Source organism: Homo sapiens, chromosome 8 (assembly GCF_000001405.40).
Source record: "Homo sapiens chromosome 8, GRCh38.p14 Primary Assembly".
In the NCBI taxonomy this organism is placed as follows: domain Eukaryota; kingdom Metazoa; phylum Chordata; class Mammalia; order Primates; family Hominidae; genus Homo; species Homo sapiens.
This window is the reverse complement of record NC_000008.11, coordinates 60,666,289-60,684,462: the sequence shown is the minus strand read 5'-3', so window position 1 is coordinate 60,684,462 and position 18,174 is coordinate 60,666,289. Positions and strand designations below refer to the sequence as shown.

Genomic DNA, 18,174 nt, shown 5'->3' with positions numbered 1-18,174 from the left:
CTAGTTTTTGTGTGAGTTTACCATGTCTTCTCATGTCATCACTATATTGACAATTCATAGCATTGCATCTTTCAGGTAGCAGGTACCCAACAAACAGCCGAATCAATGAGCAAAACCACAGATGAAACAGGAAGACTAATCACAGTCCAGATTCTGTGGCCGTGAAAGCCAATCCTGACATGCACAGAGGAAGCAAGGCTCAAAGGGTCACTTTAAAAAGTGCCTTAGATTCCACATTAGCATAGGTAAACAAGCCTGAGAGTGAACCAGCCTTTACTGACAAGTTAAGTTTCTTCATAAATACCTACGTTATTTTTTACTTTTAAAAAGACATTTCTAATTTTCAAAGTAAAAGCAGAACAGAAACCCCAAAAAAATCCTTCTCTGAAAAAACAATCATGTTTGCAGTCAGTCACCTAACATTAGTTAAAATGCAACAGGAATCTAGCTATGGTGATCAATACATGCATCTAAAGTGAAAACAGTTGTCAAATCTTGAAATAATTATCTCTGCATTTTTCCTAAATGGATAATCATAGTTAAAAAAAAAAAACCTCCAAAAACAGAAGCAAATTATTGTTGGTTTAGGAACATCTTTAAGAGTTATGTTGTCCTATGCTGTAGGATTCTAAAGCCTAAAGGTACCTTTGAGTCAGAACATGAGCAAGAGCTGTACTCTTCCAGAGCCAACAAAGACAAGACCAGCACCCCTCCTGCACTGGCACGATGCTAGGCACCAGGAACACAACTGTAACTGAGATAAGCTCTGCAACAGTGGGTGGCCAGTCAGAGGCAGTTCATTTAATTAATCTCTCTGGACTTTAGTTTCTTAATCTGTAAAATGAGAAAGTTCAACTAGCTCTCTAAGGTCCTCACACTCTAAATATCCAATCATTCTCTAATAAGGATAAAATGAATTTTTATTTGACAACATCATTACAACTTCCTGTTTCTATTTCTTCTTTTTATCATGCAGATGTGATTTCATTTACAATTTTTAATCTATTGACAAAAGTAAAATATGGACACATAGTCATGATGTTTTAAATTACCTTCCTAGCTCTTAACAACCACCATAATCAGCTATGGACCTCTGCCATCACTGCAACCTGAGTGATACCCAAATTGAAATAAATCATTCCATCTTTGTATTTTTTGTAGAAAAACCAAGCGATTATTGATCTCAATTTCTTTTATATTTTAACATTAGTCACCTTTGAATGTCAACAATTTTTTTAAAGACTAAATAATAAAGTTTTATAGAGAAAGGGGAAAATAGTATCTCCTGAACTAATGAAACCATAATGGTTTTGGAAACCTGTCTAGAAAAATGCTAAATTCTGAATTTCCAATCGCATGAAAAGAACAGATTTTTTTAAGATACACAAATATGCCCACATGAGTGAACAAGACAATTGAAAGGGTCCCACAGAGCCAATATATTGCTGACATCATCTTAATATCACCTAAGATGTTCCTTCTCCATCCTTTTTGGTGATTTTAGCTATGTGACTATGTGCTTACTTTTTACATGTAGAAATCATTTACTGAAAAAGAATCACTGTCTTACAAAGTTGAAGTTTTAAGAGCCATTTGCTCAGACCTGACTAAACATTTTTATTCTTGCAATGCCACATTTATATTCGATGTTTCTAAGATGGCCATGGTGTCTGCTATCAAACCCAAAAGGTTGTATTTAGTTAATGAAAGATGAAAGATAACTATTACTTATAAGTTTATCTTAAAAGTCAAATGTGAATATTTGCTTACCTATAGAACTGCTCTCTATTAGATGGTACACTCCCTAAAGGAAAGTACTGCCTTTTATTGTTTTAACCATGGAAGGCTTGCCAAGGTTTGCTGAATCAAAGTTAACTAAAGGCATGGTGACTGTGTGGCAAGCAAACTTTTTCAAGCATATGGAATACAATGCTGTAATCTTAGGTTTGAAAGAACTACACTAACTTGGCACTTACATGGCTTTTATGGGTTACACAGCAGGCACACAGAAGCATTTACAGTGTATTTTCTCATAACAAAATATTTCTGTTATTTTGACCTAACTGCTTAAAAACTATAACATATTATTGACTTCGCATCTGTATGAAAAACGGTTGTAACATTTCCTTGATGTTACTGTATTATAAAGGTACTCTTCATGGTATTCATTTTAACTCAATAAAAGTAAGGCTAACCTAGAAAGAAGGCTCATTATGAAAAAAGTTTAGGAAATGTTCCTGTAAGTTGAACTGATTAAAAACTAGACCAAATACTGGTGAATCTATAAAAGTACTATTTTAAAACTAAGTTACTGAATACGTTGTTATAAATTTGACTTCCATATTTTCAACTTGGGAAAAAAAGTTATTTCTTTCCTTGAAAGAGGAAAATAATATTTGGGTTTTTAAACATCACCGGTACAACCACTCTACCATTCCTGTATTGTGCCTTCCATGTTAAGACATATAAAAGAAAGTAACTTTTTAAAAAAACTAATTTAAAAATAAGGCCATTGATTAAATGAATATAATAATTTAAAATTCATATACCAGTCTTTTAAAATTATAATTCATTTCTTATCTGAAAACTCATTTCAATCGCGAAAGCATAGACCCAGGATACAATTCATCATGGTTCAATTTAGTGACTCGAACAGGAGAAAAAATTAGAAAATATAAAGAGAAAAAAACCCACAGTGCTAGAAAACAATCCCAATTCTTGAGTACCAGCATGAGGAAATTCACCTGTTACAAGCCTGACAAAAATCCATTATGTCCTTTTATCAGCAGATTACCAAAAAAGAGAATGCCATATTTCCACTATTGGGCAAAATAAGAAAATTTAGCTTCTAAAATTTGCTGCTCAAGCCTTTACCCATTTCCAAATTATTTTACTATAACTTTTTTCTACAAGACAGATTTTTCAGGGAAAATAAACTTTTCCTGAGCAAACTGGAAGACATAAAATGTCTCCTACTTATCACCTAGAAAGGCAAACCAAGTCCTACTCCATGCCCCAAGCATCTAGCTTTCAGCCTCTTTATTATCATTGTCAATGAATGGGCCTCAGTCAAATGAAAGCTGCCATTTTAGGGTAAAGACTGGAGGGCTTCTGTTGTGCAACAGCAAGACAAAAACACTGCGCGACAGATGTACTCTGGGGGCTGGGAGAAGGATTCAACTTCGTAAAATCACTGCTCAAGTTATTTCTGAAATAGGAATTACCTTGTACTTAGACATTACTGCAATCTAAATATAATTATAACTGGGATAAATCAGGTAGCCATGCTGCTAAGGTCACAGTCACTAAGATATTTTTTGTCATCGTCAGACAAGATCAGTGAAGAAATAAAGACACGTATTTTGTTTCCTCTTCGATTACTACGTATACTGAGTACTCCCTCCCTTACCGAGAGAGAACTGGGGTGAAATAACACTTAACCCCTTAGAAAGGTATCGCCCACTGCAAAGACGGCTTAAATTAAAATTTTTAGAAAATAAAAAATCAGGGCCTCACAAAATCCTTTAAAAATAAATTAAGACATGTAATGTATTCCAGAAATTAAGCCCCCAAAAGGGACACTTTTTAAGATAAGTTATTTAAATCGATTGCTAGATAATATACAATGGGAAACTAAAAAGTATACTTAGCAAGTGGAGCGCTGGATAGTGTATCTAATTCTAGCAATTCAAAAGGAAACTCTCTCCATGTGGGTTGCTACTTTTCTTTTGTCCATTGTCTGTTCAGAAGAGGGGGAAAAAAACTAGTTTAAACCAAGGCGTGAGCAGTCTCTAAAAGTGACCTCCAGGAAAAGAGTCCGACCCATAGCAGGAGCACTCTCCGCGCCGCTCGCTTCACGGGGGCGCTCACAAAGCGGGCGGCCGGCCGGGAGTTTGGGGTGCGCTCCCACGGCTCCGGGCTCCTCGAGGCAGAGCCATCCGGAGAAAGGCGGCTCGGTAATGATGGCTGCTCGGGGCCGGCGGCTCCTTCCCCAGAGCCTCCCGACCAGCGCCCCCACCCCCGCCCGGGAGCCGCCGCCGCCGCCGCCCCCGCCCCCCCCCCCCGCGACCTCGACAGCCCCGCGCCGCCGCGCCCGCCCCGCACCGCAGCCCAGCCGGTGCCCGCGCCCCCGCCCGAGCCCCGCGCCCCCAGCGAGCCCAATCCCCGGTGCGAACCAAACAAACAACGCGTCCCCCACCGCCCTCCTTTCCTCTCCCCGCTGACCGCTTGGCCTCCAGCCACCTCGGCCGTTCACGCTCCAAGCCGCGGCTCTCTGCGAGGGCAGAGCGCACCCGGGTCACCTCGGGGGCCACCTGGTGACCACCCCCCACCGGCGCTGACCCCCGGCGGGTTGGGGGGCGGGGGAGCCGAGTTGCGTTGGAAGGTTAAAGTCGCTATTATGCAGCTGCCGCCGCCGGCGGCCCGGCCAGCTCGACAAGGTGGGGTCCCCTCCTCGCCGCGCCTCCCGGCGCTCGCCCCGGCCCCGCTCCCTTTCTTCTCCTCCTAGCGCACTTGGGAGCCGCCGGGGAGCCCCAGGAGCCCCCAACTCCGGGCTCGCAACTCCGCGCCCGCGACCGGCACTGGCTGAGCTCGGGACGCCTCCCGCGCCGCGTGTTCGCGCTGCCCCCGCCCCACGCGGCGCCCCGCGCACTTTCCCCGCCGCCGACCCACCTCGCTCGGTGGCGGTCCCCGCGCGGGCTGGCGCCGCCGCGCCGGGAGGAACGCACTTTGTTCGCGCCGGTGCGGCCGCAGCTCCCGGCGAGCGCGGCGTGGTCGGTCCGGAGCGGGGGGCGGGGGCGGGAGGCGGGGGTCGCCGCCGTCCCCGAGCCGCCGCCGCCGCTGCTCAGCCGCCCCGCGCCCGCGCGCCCATCGCCCGCTCGCACTTGAGTTGGAGCCCAACTTTTCCTCCTTCCTTTTTCTCTCGAATGGAGCCGGCAACTCGTGCTCGGCGCCGGCGGGAGGAAACGCGCTCGCGCTCCCCCGCGCGCAGACACGCTCCCTCCTGTCCCCCGTACCCCCCCCCCACGCCGGCAGCACAACAAAAAGCCATTTACATGCGAGGAAGTGACCCTCGGCCGCACCGCGCGCCCCCGCCGCCGCCGGCCCGGCGGACGCAGGCAAAAGTTGGGGCGCCGGGCGGCGCTCGGGGCGCGGGTTCGGGCCCCGCGGGCGGCGACGCCGGCGACACTACGCGGGCGGCGCTGCGCTCCTGCGCTGGCCCCGGCCCCCTCCCGCCCTCGCCCCTCGCCCCTCGCCCCGCACACGCCCAACTCCTCGCTCCCAACTCCTAGCGCGGCCCCGGCCCCGGCCCGGAGCGATTTCCTGCCGCCGCCGCCGCCGCCGCCCCTCCCGGGGGCGCCGGGCGAACTCTCGCGCTCACCGGGTCGGTCGGGCTCCTCCGCTGCCTAGTGCCGAGGGGAAAACAAAACGCAGAGCGGGCTCCGGAGTTGGCTCGGCAGCTGCGGCCAGGGGGCTGAATCCACGGGCACGGAGTTGGCCGGGGGCGAACGGGTCTCTGGTGAGTTTCAGGGTGTCCGGGTCCCCGGGCCGCCTCCTCCGCGGCGCTCCTTTGTGTAATTTCACTCGATTCAAGTTTAATCCGATAGTTCCCGAGCACGAGCGCGTCCGCACCACCACGACTCAACCCCCGCGCCGCCGCCGCCGCCGCCGCTGCCGCCGCCGCCGCCGCCGCCGCCGCGGCCCCAGCACGCCAGCGCCTGCGCGCGTCCGGCACGCCGCGCGCACCCGAAGCCGCGGGGCCGCGCGCGCCCGCCGCCAGCTCCCTCCGGGCCGCGCCGCGCCCGCGCCCGCGCCCGCGCGCCGCCACCTGACGTCAGGCGCGCCTGGCATAATTTATGCAAGAATTCGGCCGGGGTGGCGGAGGCCGAGGGAGAGGCCGAGAGAAAAGGGGCGGCGCGGAGCTGCTGGGCCGCGGGCCGCGGGCCGCAAGGGCGGGCCGGGCGCCACTTCCCGTCCCCTGGCGGGCGCCGGCGCTTCAGGCGGGTCTCCCCGCCGGCCGGTGCGCTGCTGCCGCGGAGTCTTCCTTGCCCGGCTGCACGGAGCGCTCGGCCGCTGCGCCCGGGCGCGGACTGGAGGGGCTGCTGCCACGTCTCCCGCGCGGCACCTTCCCGGAGCCGGGTGCGCCGCCCCGGGGCAGGAAGCGGGGCTCCGGGAGGGCTGCGACCCTCCTGGCTGCCGCGAAGGGTTTCCGACGCTGCGCGGCCGGCGGCGGCCGGGGGTGACTGGCAGTCTCTGCAGTAATTATCCTTCAACTTGAAATTATTTTCCCACATGAAATTATTCGGAAGGGACATGTTCCATTCCAGATGGGTTCGTGCCTGCTTCTCCACATCGCTTTTCCCACCTCTTCGTGGATAGGACACCGGATCCACTACTTAATCAAAAAGTTTAACTAGATGGCATTGATTTTGTCGAATTTGTTACCATACCAAAAAAGAGAGAGAAGGCAGAGAGCTCAATGATTATGAAACAAAGAAATAGGATGTATGCCCATTATTAAACGTGTCGGGACTAGAATGTTTTACTCATTCTTTGGCCAAAATGGCACTTGTATCTGATTGCATAGTCTTAAAAATCCGAGCCTCTTATTCCATTTCTCTTCCCGGTACAAAATGAATGTTAAACCTGAAGAAAAAAAACTTTTTTTTACTAATTTTTATTTTAGGAAATAGATCTACAAACATGGATTAAGCCTCTTCTATCTGCAAAATACGGAGCAATTATAATGTGTTTAAACCATCAATTGTAAACTTTAAGATAATTTTATTAGGTTAAAGATTGCACTTATTTTAAAATCAGGAAAGGAACTCATATCAACCAAAGATTGCCCTATGGCAGGTACAGACTGACTGGTTATTACTGGACTCCAAAATAAACTGAGAAAATAGCAAAACTATGTAAAATGTACTAATCTCACTCACTGATGGTTACACTACCTGTAGTGCTAAGCCTGTAATCACAATATTGTTATTTGGACAAAAGATTAATCAAAACTATCTCATTAAGTAACTACTGCAACTATTCAATAAGTTTGATTATCCTAGACTTAATCACTAAGACATTGATTTTCTGATTTTAGTAATAATTCTATAAATATATCACATTATATTGTGGTTTGTTAAATGCACTGCTTTTAGCTTGCTTTCATCATGTATTTGAGTTTTGTTCTAAAAGAAATAAATGTTTTAATGTTTAAGGAGCTTACAGATCATCAAAAAGAACATAGAAGACAGTACAGAAAGAATTCTGGCATTTAAAAAGTTGAAACCACTAAAATCAACTTCCATCTGTTTTAAACCCGGTATCACAAACCAAGAATCACAACTCTGAGGTTAGGCTACTGTTTCCATTAAGTTTATATTTCCCAATGAAAGTATATGAAAGGTGCTTTAGGGGTGTGTGGGGCGGGGGGGTCAAAAACAGGACACAATGTCTAGAAAAAAAATCGCTAGTACCTGACTATATTAGAACACATTTTTAAAATAATGTGCCATAAAAAATTATGTCTTATCTTTTACAGTGTGCCACAGCTCGATATCAGATGTGCATCTATTTCAAGGCAATTCACAGGAGAAAAAAAATGACATCTACATATAGTGAAATTACAATATTGCAATTAACTTGTTATCAACAAATATGACTATGAGGAGATTCCCTGTGCTCTTGTACATTTAACTCGAAAGCTAGGAAACTTCCTTTTGATATATACCAGTACCCAATGTAAAAACAGTCCTACAGAATATAAGTCCTCTGACTTATAGTCTCCTTATCCTGATCACTGCCCTGAGCCATCATGAAGAAGTCTCTAAGCTTTTAGATGTTGTGGTGGTGTGGAACGTAAGGGGCCTTAAAAAGTAGAGGCCCTCAGGGGCAAACTCCTAGGCAGATCTGGCCTACCTGAGTCATAGCTCTCACCACACCACCACCATCCCCCAACACTCCCCTTTAGCCTGAAATGTTTTTTCTCCATTTGCTTCACTATTGAAGTTTTCCCAATGAGAGTAATTTGAATTCACAAGCTTTCTCTTTAAGTATGCAAATACCTTAGGGTGAGATAAGGGGCTACTGGTCTTTCACAGATGAGTGTAAATTGGTTCAATGGGTTGCTTTCCTCCCAACAGCTAGCCAGAGTAACAAATTTAGAGACTTAGCCATTCATTCAACTTCGAGTGCCTAAGAGTTTCCAGGATTGGTTCTAGGTACTGGAGATATAGTAGTGAACAAAACAGACAAAACGTCCTGCCCTCATGGAGTTTACAATCTAGTGGATTGGTAGTTTTGATCTGGTGATAAGGGAGAATGTTAATTTTGGAGTCTGAGCCCTGGAGGAATAGGACAGACCTGAGTTCCGTGTAGCCAGAGGACAGTGGAAAGGTACTAAGGACCTGGGAAGGAGGGCATTGAAGAATGGAGCGGGCCAAGCAGAAAGCAGTTGAGAAAAACACCAAAGAAAATATGACCCACTACAAAAAGGTTGTCTAGGCCCTAGGTCATGAATAGATACAGTCTATTTGAAGAGCTCAGACTTAATGCTGAATTCCACAGACAAATAAATATCTCTGGAAAAATAGCCCAGAATGTATCAACCTATAATACCTGTGGTGAGGGGGTAATGTGCACATCTAAAATAACTGAAAAAACACTCTAACTCTCAAACACTTAAAAATCAAGTCCTATCTATATTAAATGTTTCCAACTTTAAAATATTATGTAAATTACACTAATTCCAGTGTTGAGGGCATCCTTCAGTATATTTTTGGAACTCATCTTTTGAAATTGTGTTCAGAACCAATTTGCAAGTACTGGAAAATAACTCTCTTTAGCGCCACATATTTTTCCCCCACTAAAAACTGTTATTTTTCTTCATTCACCAAATTTACATCCAAATGACTTTGGCTAGCTCCAAACAATATATTTTGCCTCTAAATGATGAAGGTTTACTGCCATTGAAGATACATAAATAATTAAAATATAAATATATAGAGGGGTATAAATGCTGAAGAAAGCAGCAAAAAGAAAAGTCTAAAAAACTTTTTCTGCTTCACTGGGATAATGGCATAATCCTCCTCTGTAATTTTTTCTTTTTTTTTTTTTTTTTTTTTTGAGACGGAGTCTCACTCTGTCACCCAGGCTGGAGGGGGCAGCGGCGAAGTCTCAGCTCACTGCAAGTTCCACCTCCCTGGTTCACACCATTCTTCTGCCTCAGCCTCCCGAGTAGCTGGGACTACAGGCACCTGCCACCACGCCCGGCTAATTTTTTTTTTTTTTTTTTTTTTTGTATTTTTAATAGAGACAGGGTTTCACCGCATTAGACAGGATGGTCTCGATCTCCTGACCTCATGATCCGCCCATCTCGGCCTCCCAAAGTGCTGGGATTACAGGCGTGAGCACCGCGCCCGGCCTGTAATTTTTTCATAAAAGAAAGCCGGCCAGGCACGGTGGCTCATGCCTGTAATCCCAGCACTTTGGGAGCTGAACTGGGTGGATCACCTGAGGTCAGGAGTTTGAGACCAGCCTGGCCAACATGGTGAAAACCCATCTCACTAAAAACACAAAGAAATTAACCGAGTGTGATGGCAGTTGCCTGTAATCCGAGCTACTCGGGAGACTGAGGCAGGAGAGTCACTTGAACCGGGAGGTAGAGGTTGCAATGAGCCAAGATCACACCATTGCACTCCAGCCTGGGCAACAAAAGTGAAACTCTGTCTCAAAAAGTAGTAATAATAAATAAAAATAAATAAGAAACCAGTTGGCTATGTAAGTGCTGCTGTATTTGTTAGAAAATTGGTCACTTGCCTTTTCATTAAAAAGTTCTATTATGAGGCCAGACACAGTGGCTCGCACCTGTAATCCCAGCACTTTGGGAGGCCGAGGCAGAAGAGTCGCTTGAGCTCAGGAGTTTGAGACCAGCCTGGGCAACATAGTGAGACCTTGCCTCTATAAAAAGTAAAAATAAAAATTAGCCAGGTGTGGTGGCCCATTCCAGGTGTAGTCCCAGCTACCTGGGAGGCTAAGGCAGGAGGATCACTTGAGCCCAGGAGGTTGAGACTGCAGTGAGTCAAGATCACACTACTGCACTCCAGCCTGGGTGACAGAGCAAGACCCCATCTTAAAAAAAAAAAAAAAATCTATCATTTCATATAGTCTAAAATTATAGTTGCCTGTGTGATGTTGCCTTTTTCCTTATTAGTTGTACTGCTTTAAAGTTACTATTTATTTCCTCTTATGCTAATTGAAGAGTACCTGGCTTTGGTTCCTCTGCAAAAAAAGAAAAAAAAAATTATTTGTTAGATTTATGCTCCCGCGTTTTCCACATAGAGAGTATATGAGTATGAATTGATTCCATTATTTTTCAAAATATTTTCATATACTATACTTGTAGTACCTTCCGGACTATTTCATTTATTGGGTATATATGTTGTAAAACTTTGTAGTAATCAGCCCATAGTATAGTATCTTTTAATTAAGCAGATAGTATATTGGTTGAAAAACCATTAGCTCCAATTCCCATTTTATCTCTATTAGCCCAGAACACTGCTAGGAGCTTTTGCTGGCAATGGTCAAGGTTGGTAAGGTCAACATATCAGATGAAAAGAAAACCACTATGGGCTAGAATTAGGCCATTGTTGGCTCCTAAAGACAACATGTTCAGCTGAGTTTGAGCCATTGTTTCAGCAAACATTTGTTGAATGCTTACAGTGTGCCAGACTCTAAAATAGCACTGGAGACATGGTAAGGTCCTGTCCTCAAGGAGCTCATGCTGTGTGGCAGCATAAAGTAATAAGTGAGGCTGGGCATGGTGGTGGCATGTGCCTGTAGTCCCAGCTACTGGAAGGCTGAGGTGGGAGGACCTGCACTCCTGAGTGCAGGAGTTTGAGGCCAGCCTGTGAGTCTCTAAAAAATAATAATAATACTCATTTTTACGAGATTCCAGGTTCATCTCCTGCATCAGAAAAAAAAAAAAAAAGCAGGGAGTGATTTTTGCTACCTGGGATATCAGGGAAGCCTTCCTAGAAGATGAGAGCCTTGCACTGTGTCTTGAGTAGGCACAGTAATTCATCAGAATAGGGAGATTCATCAGAACAAGCAGGGGAGGAGGGATTCCCAAGAAGACAACAGTGGTTTCATAGCCCAGTGAGTCCAGGCCACTGCAAGTGGATCTATTAGGAGTGGAACATGGAGGTTGAGCCAGTCTTCCTCCACAGTGTTCTCTGATCCTCCCAGGATGGGTTGGCTGTTCTTCCTTTGTTCTCCCAAGGATGCCCGTCTCCATCAATACACACTTATGTTGAACTATAATTAATTCTTGTTCTGTCTTATCATTGGTCTGTAAGCTTCTGGGGAACAATGACTGTGCCTTGTCTTTTAGTACCCCCAGGTCCCATAGAGCCTTCCATGTAGAAAGAACTCAATAAATGTTTACACATTTGTTTAAGTGGCAGGGGTAAGGAGGTAGTAGATTAGACTAGATAAGTAGAAAGGTCCAAGGAGAGCTCTAGATTTCTCCCCAAAGGTTATGGACAGCCATTGGAGAGTCTTCATGTGAGAGAGTAACAAGTCAGATCTGTACTTCGAAATATCTCTTTGGTAGGGTGAAGAATGTGGAAAACTAGACTGGAAGCAGGGAGAAAAGTGAGGAAGACCTCCTAAGACAAGAAAAGGGAAGACATAAAAGCTACCACCTATTTCTTTGCACTGTCTAGACTCAAGATTGTTACTAAGTGCTTGTCATGTGGGCTGACTTCTGATGGGGGAAGAGAAAACAGAAGCAAAGGCCCACTCCGCCCTGTGGTAGAGGACGGCAGTGCTCTGTCTAGAAGGAGCAGTGATAGGGAGCTCTGGGGGCAACAGTTCTAAAGTGGCGCTGCCTCCCACCTGGACTGTGCCCCTTTGGCTCTTCTCTCTTCAGTTACCAGCTCCAATGTTCCATGACTTGCTGTTACCCACCTTAATCTAAGTAATATTGGGCCACTCATTGTCTCCATTTCTAGTCTAATAAGTGGACGTTTGTAGTGCTAACTTAACTAATTATAAAATAATTTTACAAAGCATTTAAACTGAAAAAGTATAGCATATGATTCACCAATGGTTATTGGCACTTGCTGTGCATTGTACACTGTGCTGGGTGCTGTAAACACAATAATGAAGCAAACCCCACCCTGGAGGGGGCTCTGTGCATCTATTGGGGGGAGGGCAGGCATTTAAGCATGTCTTTACAACTAAAATGTGTGTAATTGTGGTATTGTTGGGTACAGTGATAGCTCAGAAGATGGGATGACTAAGTCTGAGCAGGAGAGGCTTCAACAGAGGAGATGACATTTAAACTGAGCCGAGCCTGGCTGGACTCTGCAGATGGCAGAGTGTGGGGAGGCCCACCAGGCAGGAAAGCCGGCAGAGACATGCATGGGACAGATGGGACAGCACCAGGCTAGTGTCAGCACTGCAAGTAATTTGGCTCAGTTAGAGCACAGCACACACAGGGGGAAAAAGTGAGGATGGAAGGGCCAAGTGAGAAAGGGTTTTGTAGCATATGAAGAAATGTTTACCTTATCCTCTAGGTCATAAGGAGGCACAAAAAGATAGTGAGCAGGAAAACGATGGGGACAGAGAACCAAACCACAGGGTAGGCTGAGGGTGAGTAAACATCAGTGACAGGCCCAGCATGTGATGGGGTCCTGGACCAGGGCAGCATTTGAGGTGGGAGAGATCAAGGAATAGATGTGAGAGATGCTTAGGTGACATGTTTGGTAAGATTTGATGAATGACTGATGTTGGGAAGTGAATGAAAGGGAAGGGTGAAGATTCCCTTTTAGGTTTCCACCTGCCTTGCATCACTAACCAAGATAAGAAATGGAGGCGAGAGCAGCTTGTGGAAAAACACAGGGCTTTGGTGTGGGAATTCCTTTAGAGGTGGTTTGTGAATATTGAAATGGGGATGTCTGTTAAGTAAGAAACGGGAACTTAGAAGGTTTATCTGGCCTAGAGATATAGGGGTAAGAATTATGAGGTATGAACAGTACTTAAGTCCACTGAAATGGATGGGATTGCATGGGAACACATGTGACAGGTGAGGAAATCAGGCTGATGACAGGGATCGTTTTTATTTATCTATTACTGTATATAGAACCACTCCAAAATTTAGCGGCTTAAAACAAATTATGATCCATCTGGTGGGTTACCTGGGGGTTGAACTCAATTGAAAAAGCTGGGGTAGTTGAGCCTCTCTCTCTCTCTACCTATCTCTATCTCTGTCTCTCTCCACTTGCTTTTTCATCTTGGTCATCCTGATGACATGGCAGTCTCTCTTCCAATAAGGCAAGCCCCAATACACAAGCACTTACCAGTCCTCTGCCTGCTTCGGGTTTGCTGATGTTCTACTGGCCAAAGCAATCCCATGGTCAAGCCCAGAATCAATGTGGAGTGGAATAGGAAACCCCTAGAGGTGAGATTCACTGGGGAACACTGCTTATTCATGTAAAACATATGCTGAGAGATGGGCAGAAAACCCAGTAAAAGAAGATATTAAAAGATAAGCCAATGAAGAAAAATTAACAGAGATCAGTCTGAAAGGAAAAATGAGACCTCGAGGTAAAAGTGTTTCTAGAAGGGAAGGAGCAATTGTGTCAAAGGTCACAGAGAGATCAAGTAGGAAACGAATGAAAAGCCTCCATTGGATTTGGTTATTGTTAACCTTTTCAGTTTCAAGTGTTGAGAGTAGAAGGTAGATTGCAAAGGGGTGAGAAGTTAGTGGGAGTTGAGGACATATAGACAGCTCTTTTATTAGAAGCTTGGTTATAAAATGAAGAGACCTGGGGTAGTATCTAGAAAGAACTTACATTAAAGAGAGGCTAGTAGTTTTTTGTTTTTGTTTTGTTGCTGTTTTAATATCAAAGTGATAGACATTCTTCTAGACTAAAATACAGGAGCCAGGGGTAGGAAGGAAACAACTACATAGGAGAGTAAGGTTTTGGGGGCAGGGAGAGGAGATCAAGTTCAGGGTTGATGGGAGCAGTTATACCTGTTTTTCTGAAATCAAAGAAAGATTGGTTAAAATGGCAGTAAGTTTGTAGGTTGGAGTGCAGAGAGGTGGAAGAATGCTTAGCAAATTCATTTATAATATCTTCTATTTTTCTTACCAATTCAGTGGTTAATCACCTGCTGAGATTGTCATGTTCACAGGTGGTCAAGAGACCCTAGGAGAGTGTTCAAGTCTTGCAGTAGCCACTACAGGGAAGAAAGAAGCTATAGGAAGAAAGTAAAAAGACTCTTCTTGAGTCCTGAGCTGAGACTGTAATGGCAACAAGTTGTTATGCAACTTTCTTAGGTGTGGTTCACCCCTTGGGGGGAGGAGTATACACAGTGAATTACCAGATTCACCCAGGGAGTCATTCCCTTCTTCAGAGAGAGACCCAGAGGGATGGTTGGCCACATAGCCAATGCCAGGGTAGAGTCTCCAGGGACCAGGCAAGATCAGCTTGAATTGTTACTTGGAGCTATGAAGCTGCCATTATCATGGTCCTTTGTTAAAATATAGAACATGAGTTGTATATGAATATACATAAGATAGGTAGGGATTCCTGGTCATCTCAAATCCTTTTTTTGGAAATAAATGTGTTAGCAACAACAAATAACTAAGCATGTCTCCTCTTTCTTCTATTCCATTAAGTCCCCGGATGGCTGGTGTTAATCAGGCCAACAACTGTTTTTGCTCTGATGATCTCGGTAGTGCCAATATCATATAGTGGGACATTAATATTATCACTGCAAGTTTTTGGATAATTGTAGACCAACCTATGCCAAACTTAAAGTTGTACTTTAATACGTAAAGTGAGAATAGGTCATAATTTAAAGTTGCCTAATATCCTGTCTTGTGTGTCAGACCTCAGAATACTCCTCATTTAACTGGTTAAATATTTTCCAATAACTTTTCCTCACACATGGTACTCCAGTCCTCTTTCTCTTCTTCCCCCTTGGTCAAAATATGCATGGTAGATAGAATATTGAACTTGGTCTTTGCAGATCATGTACATACAACTGTCATTTTACAGGAGAGGAATGTGAGGCTCAGAGAGGTTGCCCAAGGTCACCCTGCTGTGAAAGACAAGGATGGGATCCAAACCCAGATCTTCTAACCCCCTGATCAATGCTTTTCCCCAAATGGAAATCTAATAACTGCCAGAAGATGGCTTGCCTTTCTGGTGATCCACTTTGAGCTGAGCTCCTTTACTTCCAATTGTTTATACTTTCCTCTGTTGTGAAAGGGGAAAAGTCACATGTGATGGGCAAGTCTGCACTGTGATTCCCACAAGATGTTACCATACACTGCAACTCTAGATAAGACTGACTTGAGAATTATGCATCCAACTGTGATTAATTCCTTCTCTTGGGTAGAAACACTGACTTTTCTCTGGCTAACTGCTCCACACTGAAATACAGCAGTCATGGGTACCCACATGCTCAACACATTTCTCAGATTTGTAAGAAGTTAGTTCAGCCAACACCTAGCACAGAGTCTGACACACAGGTGACACTGCACAAATACCAGTAAATGTGGCATGAAGGCCTTGGGATGACTGGATACAGAAAGGCAAACATCATTTTAAAAAATATTCTGTGTACTTGACTCTGAAAGCAGAAACATTCTTAATTTTATCTTAATTTGTATTTTAACATAGTTAACTTCCTCCAGAGTAATTACTTTTTAACATGTTTATAATGTGTTTACATGATTGAGCTGCTATACTGAGGCTTTTCATCTAGAAACCTAGCAAGAATTCTTACTAGGCCATTTTCTAAGCTCCCCTCTGGAGACTCTCCAGGTATGCCATGCATGCTGCTGCCCTCAGTTCATATGCTAGAGCCCCATGAGGTCAAAAAGACAGAAGCTGACCTGGCTGCAGAACTGCAAACCCTCCACCCTTTTTAGCCCGTTCCTTTTCCCACAGCTGCTGTTGTGGGGCCCTCAAAAGCCATTGCCCTTGGGCCACTTATAAGTCACCTGGGCCTAAAGTCGATTAAGTACTGCTTCACATGTTTCCCTGACAGCCTATTCGTTTATTACCTCTCTCAGGAAAAGAAAATGTAATATTGTGAGGCCCTACTCACAGAGGGTAAAACAGTGGATTCAGAGATGGCAAAAATCAAGGCAGTAGAATAAAAATGACTGAATTTTGATAAATAATACCATATTCTAATTGTATGTTTCCTCCCTCATGCCTTTTTTTTGTGGTAAAATATACATAACATAAAGTATATTACGTTTCAACCATTTTTAAGTGTGCACATCAGTGGCGTTAAGTACATTCATATCATTGTGCTACCATCGTTACCGCCCATCTCCAGAACCTTTTCATCTTCCCCAACAGACACTGTGTACCCATGAAAAATAACTCAATTTCCCCACTTCCCAGCCATTGGCAGCCACCATTCTACTTCTTGTCTCTATGAATTTGCCTGCTTTAGGTACCTCATATCAATGGAATCACACAGTATGTGACCTTTTGTCCTTAGCTTATTCACTTATCATAATGTTTTGAATGTTCATCCATGTTGTGGCATGTGTCAGAATGTCCTTGCTTATTAAGGATGAGTAATAGTCTGTTGGGTATATATGGTACATTTTGTTTATCCATTCATATGTCCGCAGACACTGGCCTGCCTCCACCTTTTAGCTATTGTGAGGAATGCTGCTATGAACACAGGTGTAGCCTCGTGCCTTTTTAAGACTGGGACCTGTCCAAGTGAGATCCTACTACTTTGGGTTTTTGTTTGTTTGTTTGTTTGTTTGTTTGAGACAGAGTTTCATTCTTGTCGCCCAGGATGGAGTGCAATGGCACCATCTCCAGCTCACCACAACCTCCGCCTCCCAGGTTCAAGCAATTCTCCTGCCTCAGCCTCCCAAGTAGCTGGGATTACAGGCGTGTGCCACCACACCCAGCTAATTTTGTATTTTTAGTAGAGATGGGGTTTCTCCACGTCAGGTCTCAAACTCCCAGACTCAGGTGATCTGCCCACCTTGGCCTCCCAAAGTGCTGGGATTACAGGCGTAAGCCACCATGCCCGGCCAAGATCCTGCTATTTTGTAACTCCTCCTTTCCCCAGACCAGTTCATGCCAGATCCCCTCATCTCTTTGCCCACTCCCTGGTGAAGGTCTTTCCTCTTGGGAGGGGAACTGAGGCTGGCTTTCTAGTAAGCTACTGTGCTATGTCCTTGGAGTGGCCCTCTTGGACCTGCAGATTCCCTGCTCTTGTCTTTGGGCATGGGATCTAAGGCTGGAGCCACTGCAGTGGCGTCAGATCCCCTCAGCCTAGCCCTTGCTCTTCATGAGCTGAGGTGCTGAAACTTAGTATACCTCAGGGTCAAGCCTTTCCAAACAGTGCTGTAGATAATAACAAAGGCCCATAGAAAATATCAATGAAGGACACATGTGGTGATTGAATAATGCTATAAGACTTTCTCAAGTTATTTATTTTTTTGAGACAGAGTCCTGCTCTATCTCCCAGGCTAGAGTACAGTGGCACAGTCTTGGCCCACTGCAGCCTTTTCCTCCCAGGCTCAAGCATTCCTCCCACCTCAGCCTCCTGAGTAGCTGGAACTACAGGTGCATGCCACCATGTACAGCTAATTTTTAAAATTTTTTGTAGAAATGGAGTCTCACTATGTTGCCCAGGCTGGTCTCAACTTCTGGGCTCCAGCAATCCTCCACCCTTGGCCTTCCAAAATGCTGGGATTACAGGCGTGAGCCACTGCACCCAGCCTCTCAAGTTATTTCTAAATATTATTATAAGTTATAATGACTTGTTACTTGACTATTCACTAATGAAAATTGACAAGTATTTATTTATTGAGTTTTTCCTATGTGGAAGGTACTGTACTGGATTCATGGACGAATACACGAAACATACACATATTTTCTCCACTGCCCTCAGAAAAAGTACACTGAATCAGAGATACAAACCATGATGACATACCTAATCAAATAAACTATGGTTTATCTTTATGATAGGAACTATGCAGGCATTAGAAAGGATGAGGTAGATATTTATGTGCCGATGTGCTGTAATCTTCAAGCTATGCTATTGCACAAAAAACGACAAAAATTCTAGGCTCAGAAGAGTGTATATGGTTTGATCATAACCATGGGGAAAAAAGAA

The 18,174-nt window shown here is 44.7% G+C and overlaps 1 protein-coding gene across 10 annotated transcripts in view, besides 3 other annotated features; it reads right to left on the bottom strand.

The window, feature by feature from the left end:
- CHD7 (chromodomain helicase DNA binding protein 7) overlaps positions 1 to 5,723 on the bottom strand; it is a 189,289-nt gene extending 183,566 nt beyond the window's left edge. For 8 of the 10 annotated variants that reach the window (XM_011517553.3, XM_047421945.1, XM_011517555.3 and 5 more), the window contains exon 1: positions 5,381 to 5,723. The gene's annotated coding sequence lies outside the window, so the exon portion shown is untranslated. Of the gene's footprint in view, positions 1 to 4,224; positions 4,583 to 4,671; positions 4,969 to 5,380 lie in introns of those variants that run through there. The other 2 variants (XM_011517554.4, XM_017013612.2) reach the window with 2 other exon arrangements.
- Positions 4,246 to 4,615: a silencer, noted in NCBI's record as "silent region_19229". NCBI's record gives its function as "represses an Ori minimal core promoter by ATAC-STARR-seq in GM12878 lymphoblastoid cells {active_cell/tissue: GM12878}" and the evidence as "EXISTENCE:reporter gene assay evidence [ECO:0000049][PMID:35858748]".
- Positions 5,276 to 5,375: a silencer, noted in NCBI's record as "silent region_19228". NCBI's record gives its function as "represses an Ori minimal core promoter by ATAC-STARR-seq in GM12878 lymphoblastoid cells {active_cell/tissue: GM12878}" and the evidence as "EXISTENCE:reporter gene assay evidence [ECO:0000049][PMID:35858748]".
- Positions 5,736 to 6,175: a silencer, noted in NCBI's record as "silent region_19227". NCBI's record gives its function as "represses an Ori minimal core promoter by ATAC-STARR-seq in GM12878 lymphoblastoid cells {active_cell/tissue: GM12878}" and the evidence as "EXISTENCE:reporter gene assay evidence [ECO:0000049][PMID:35858748]".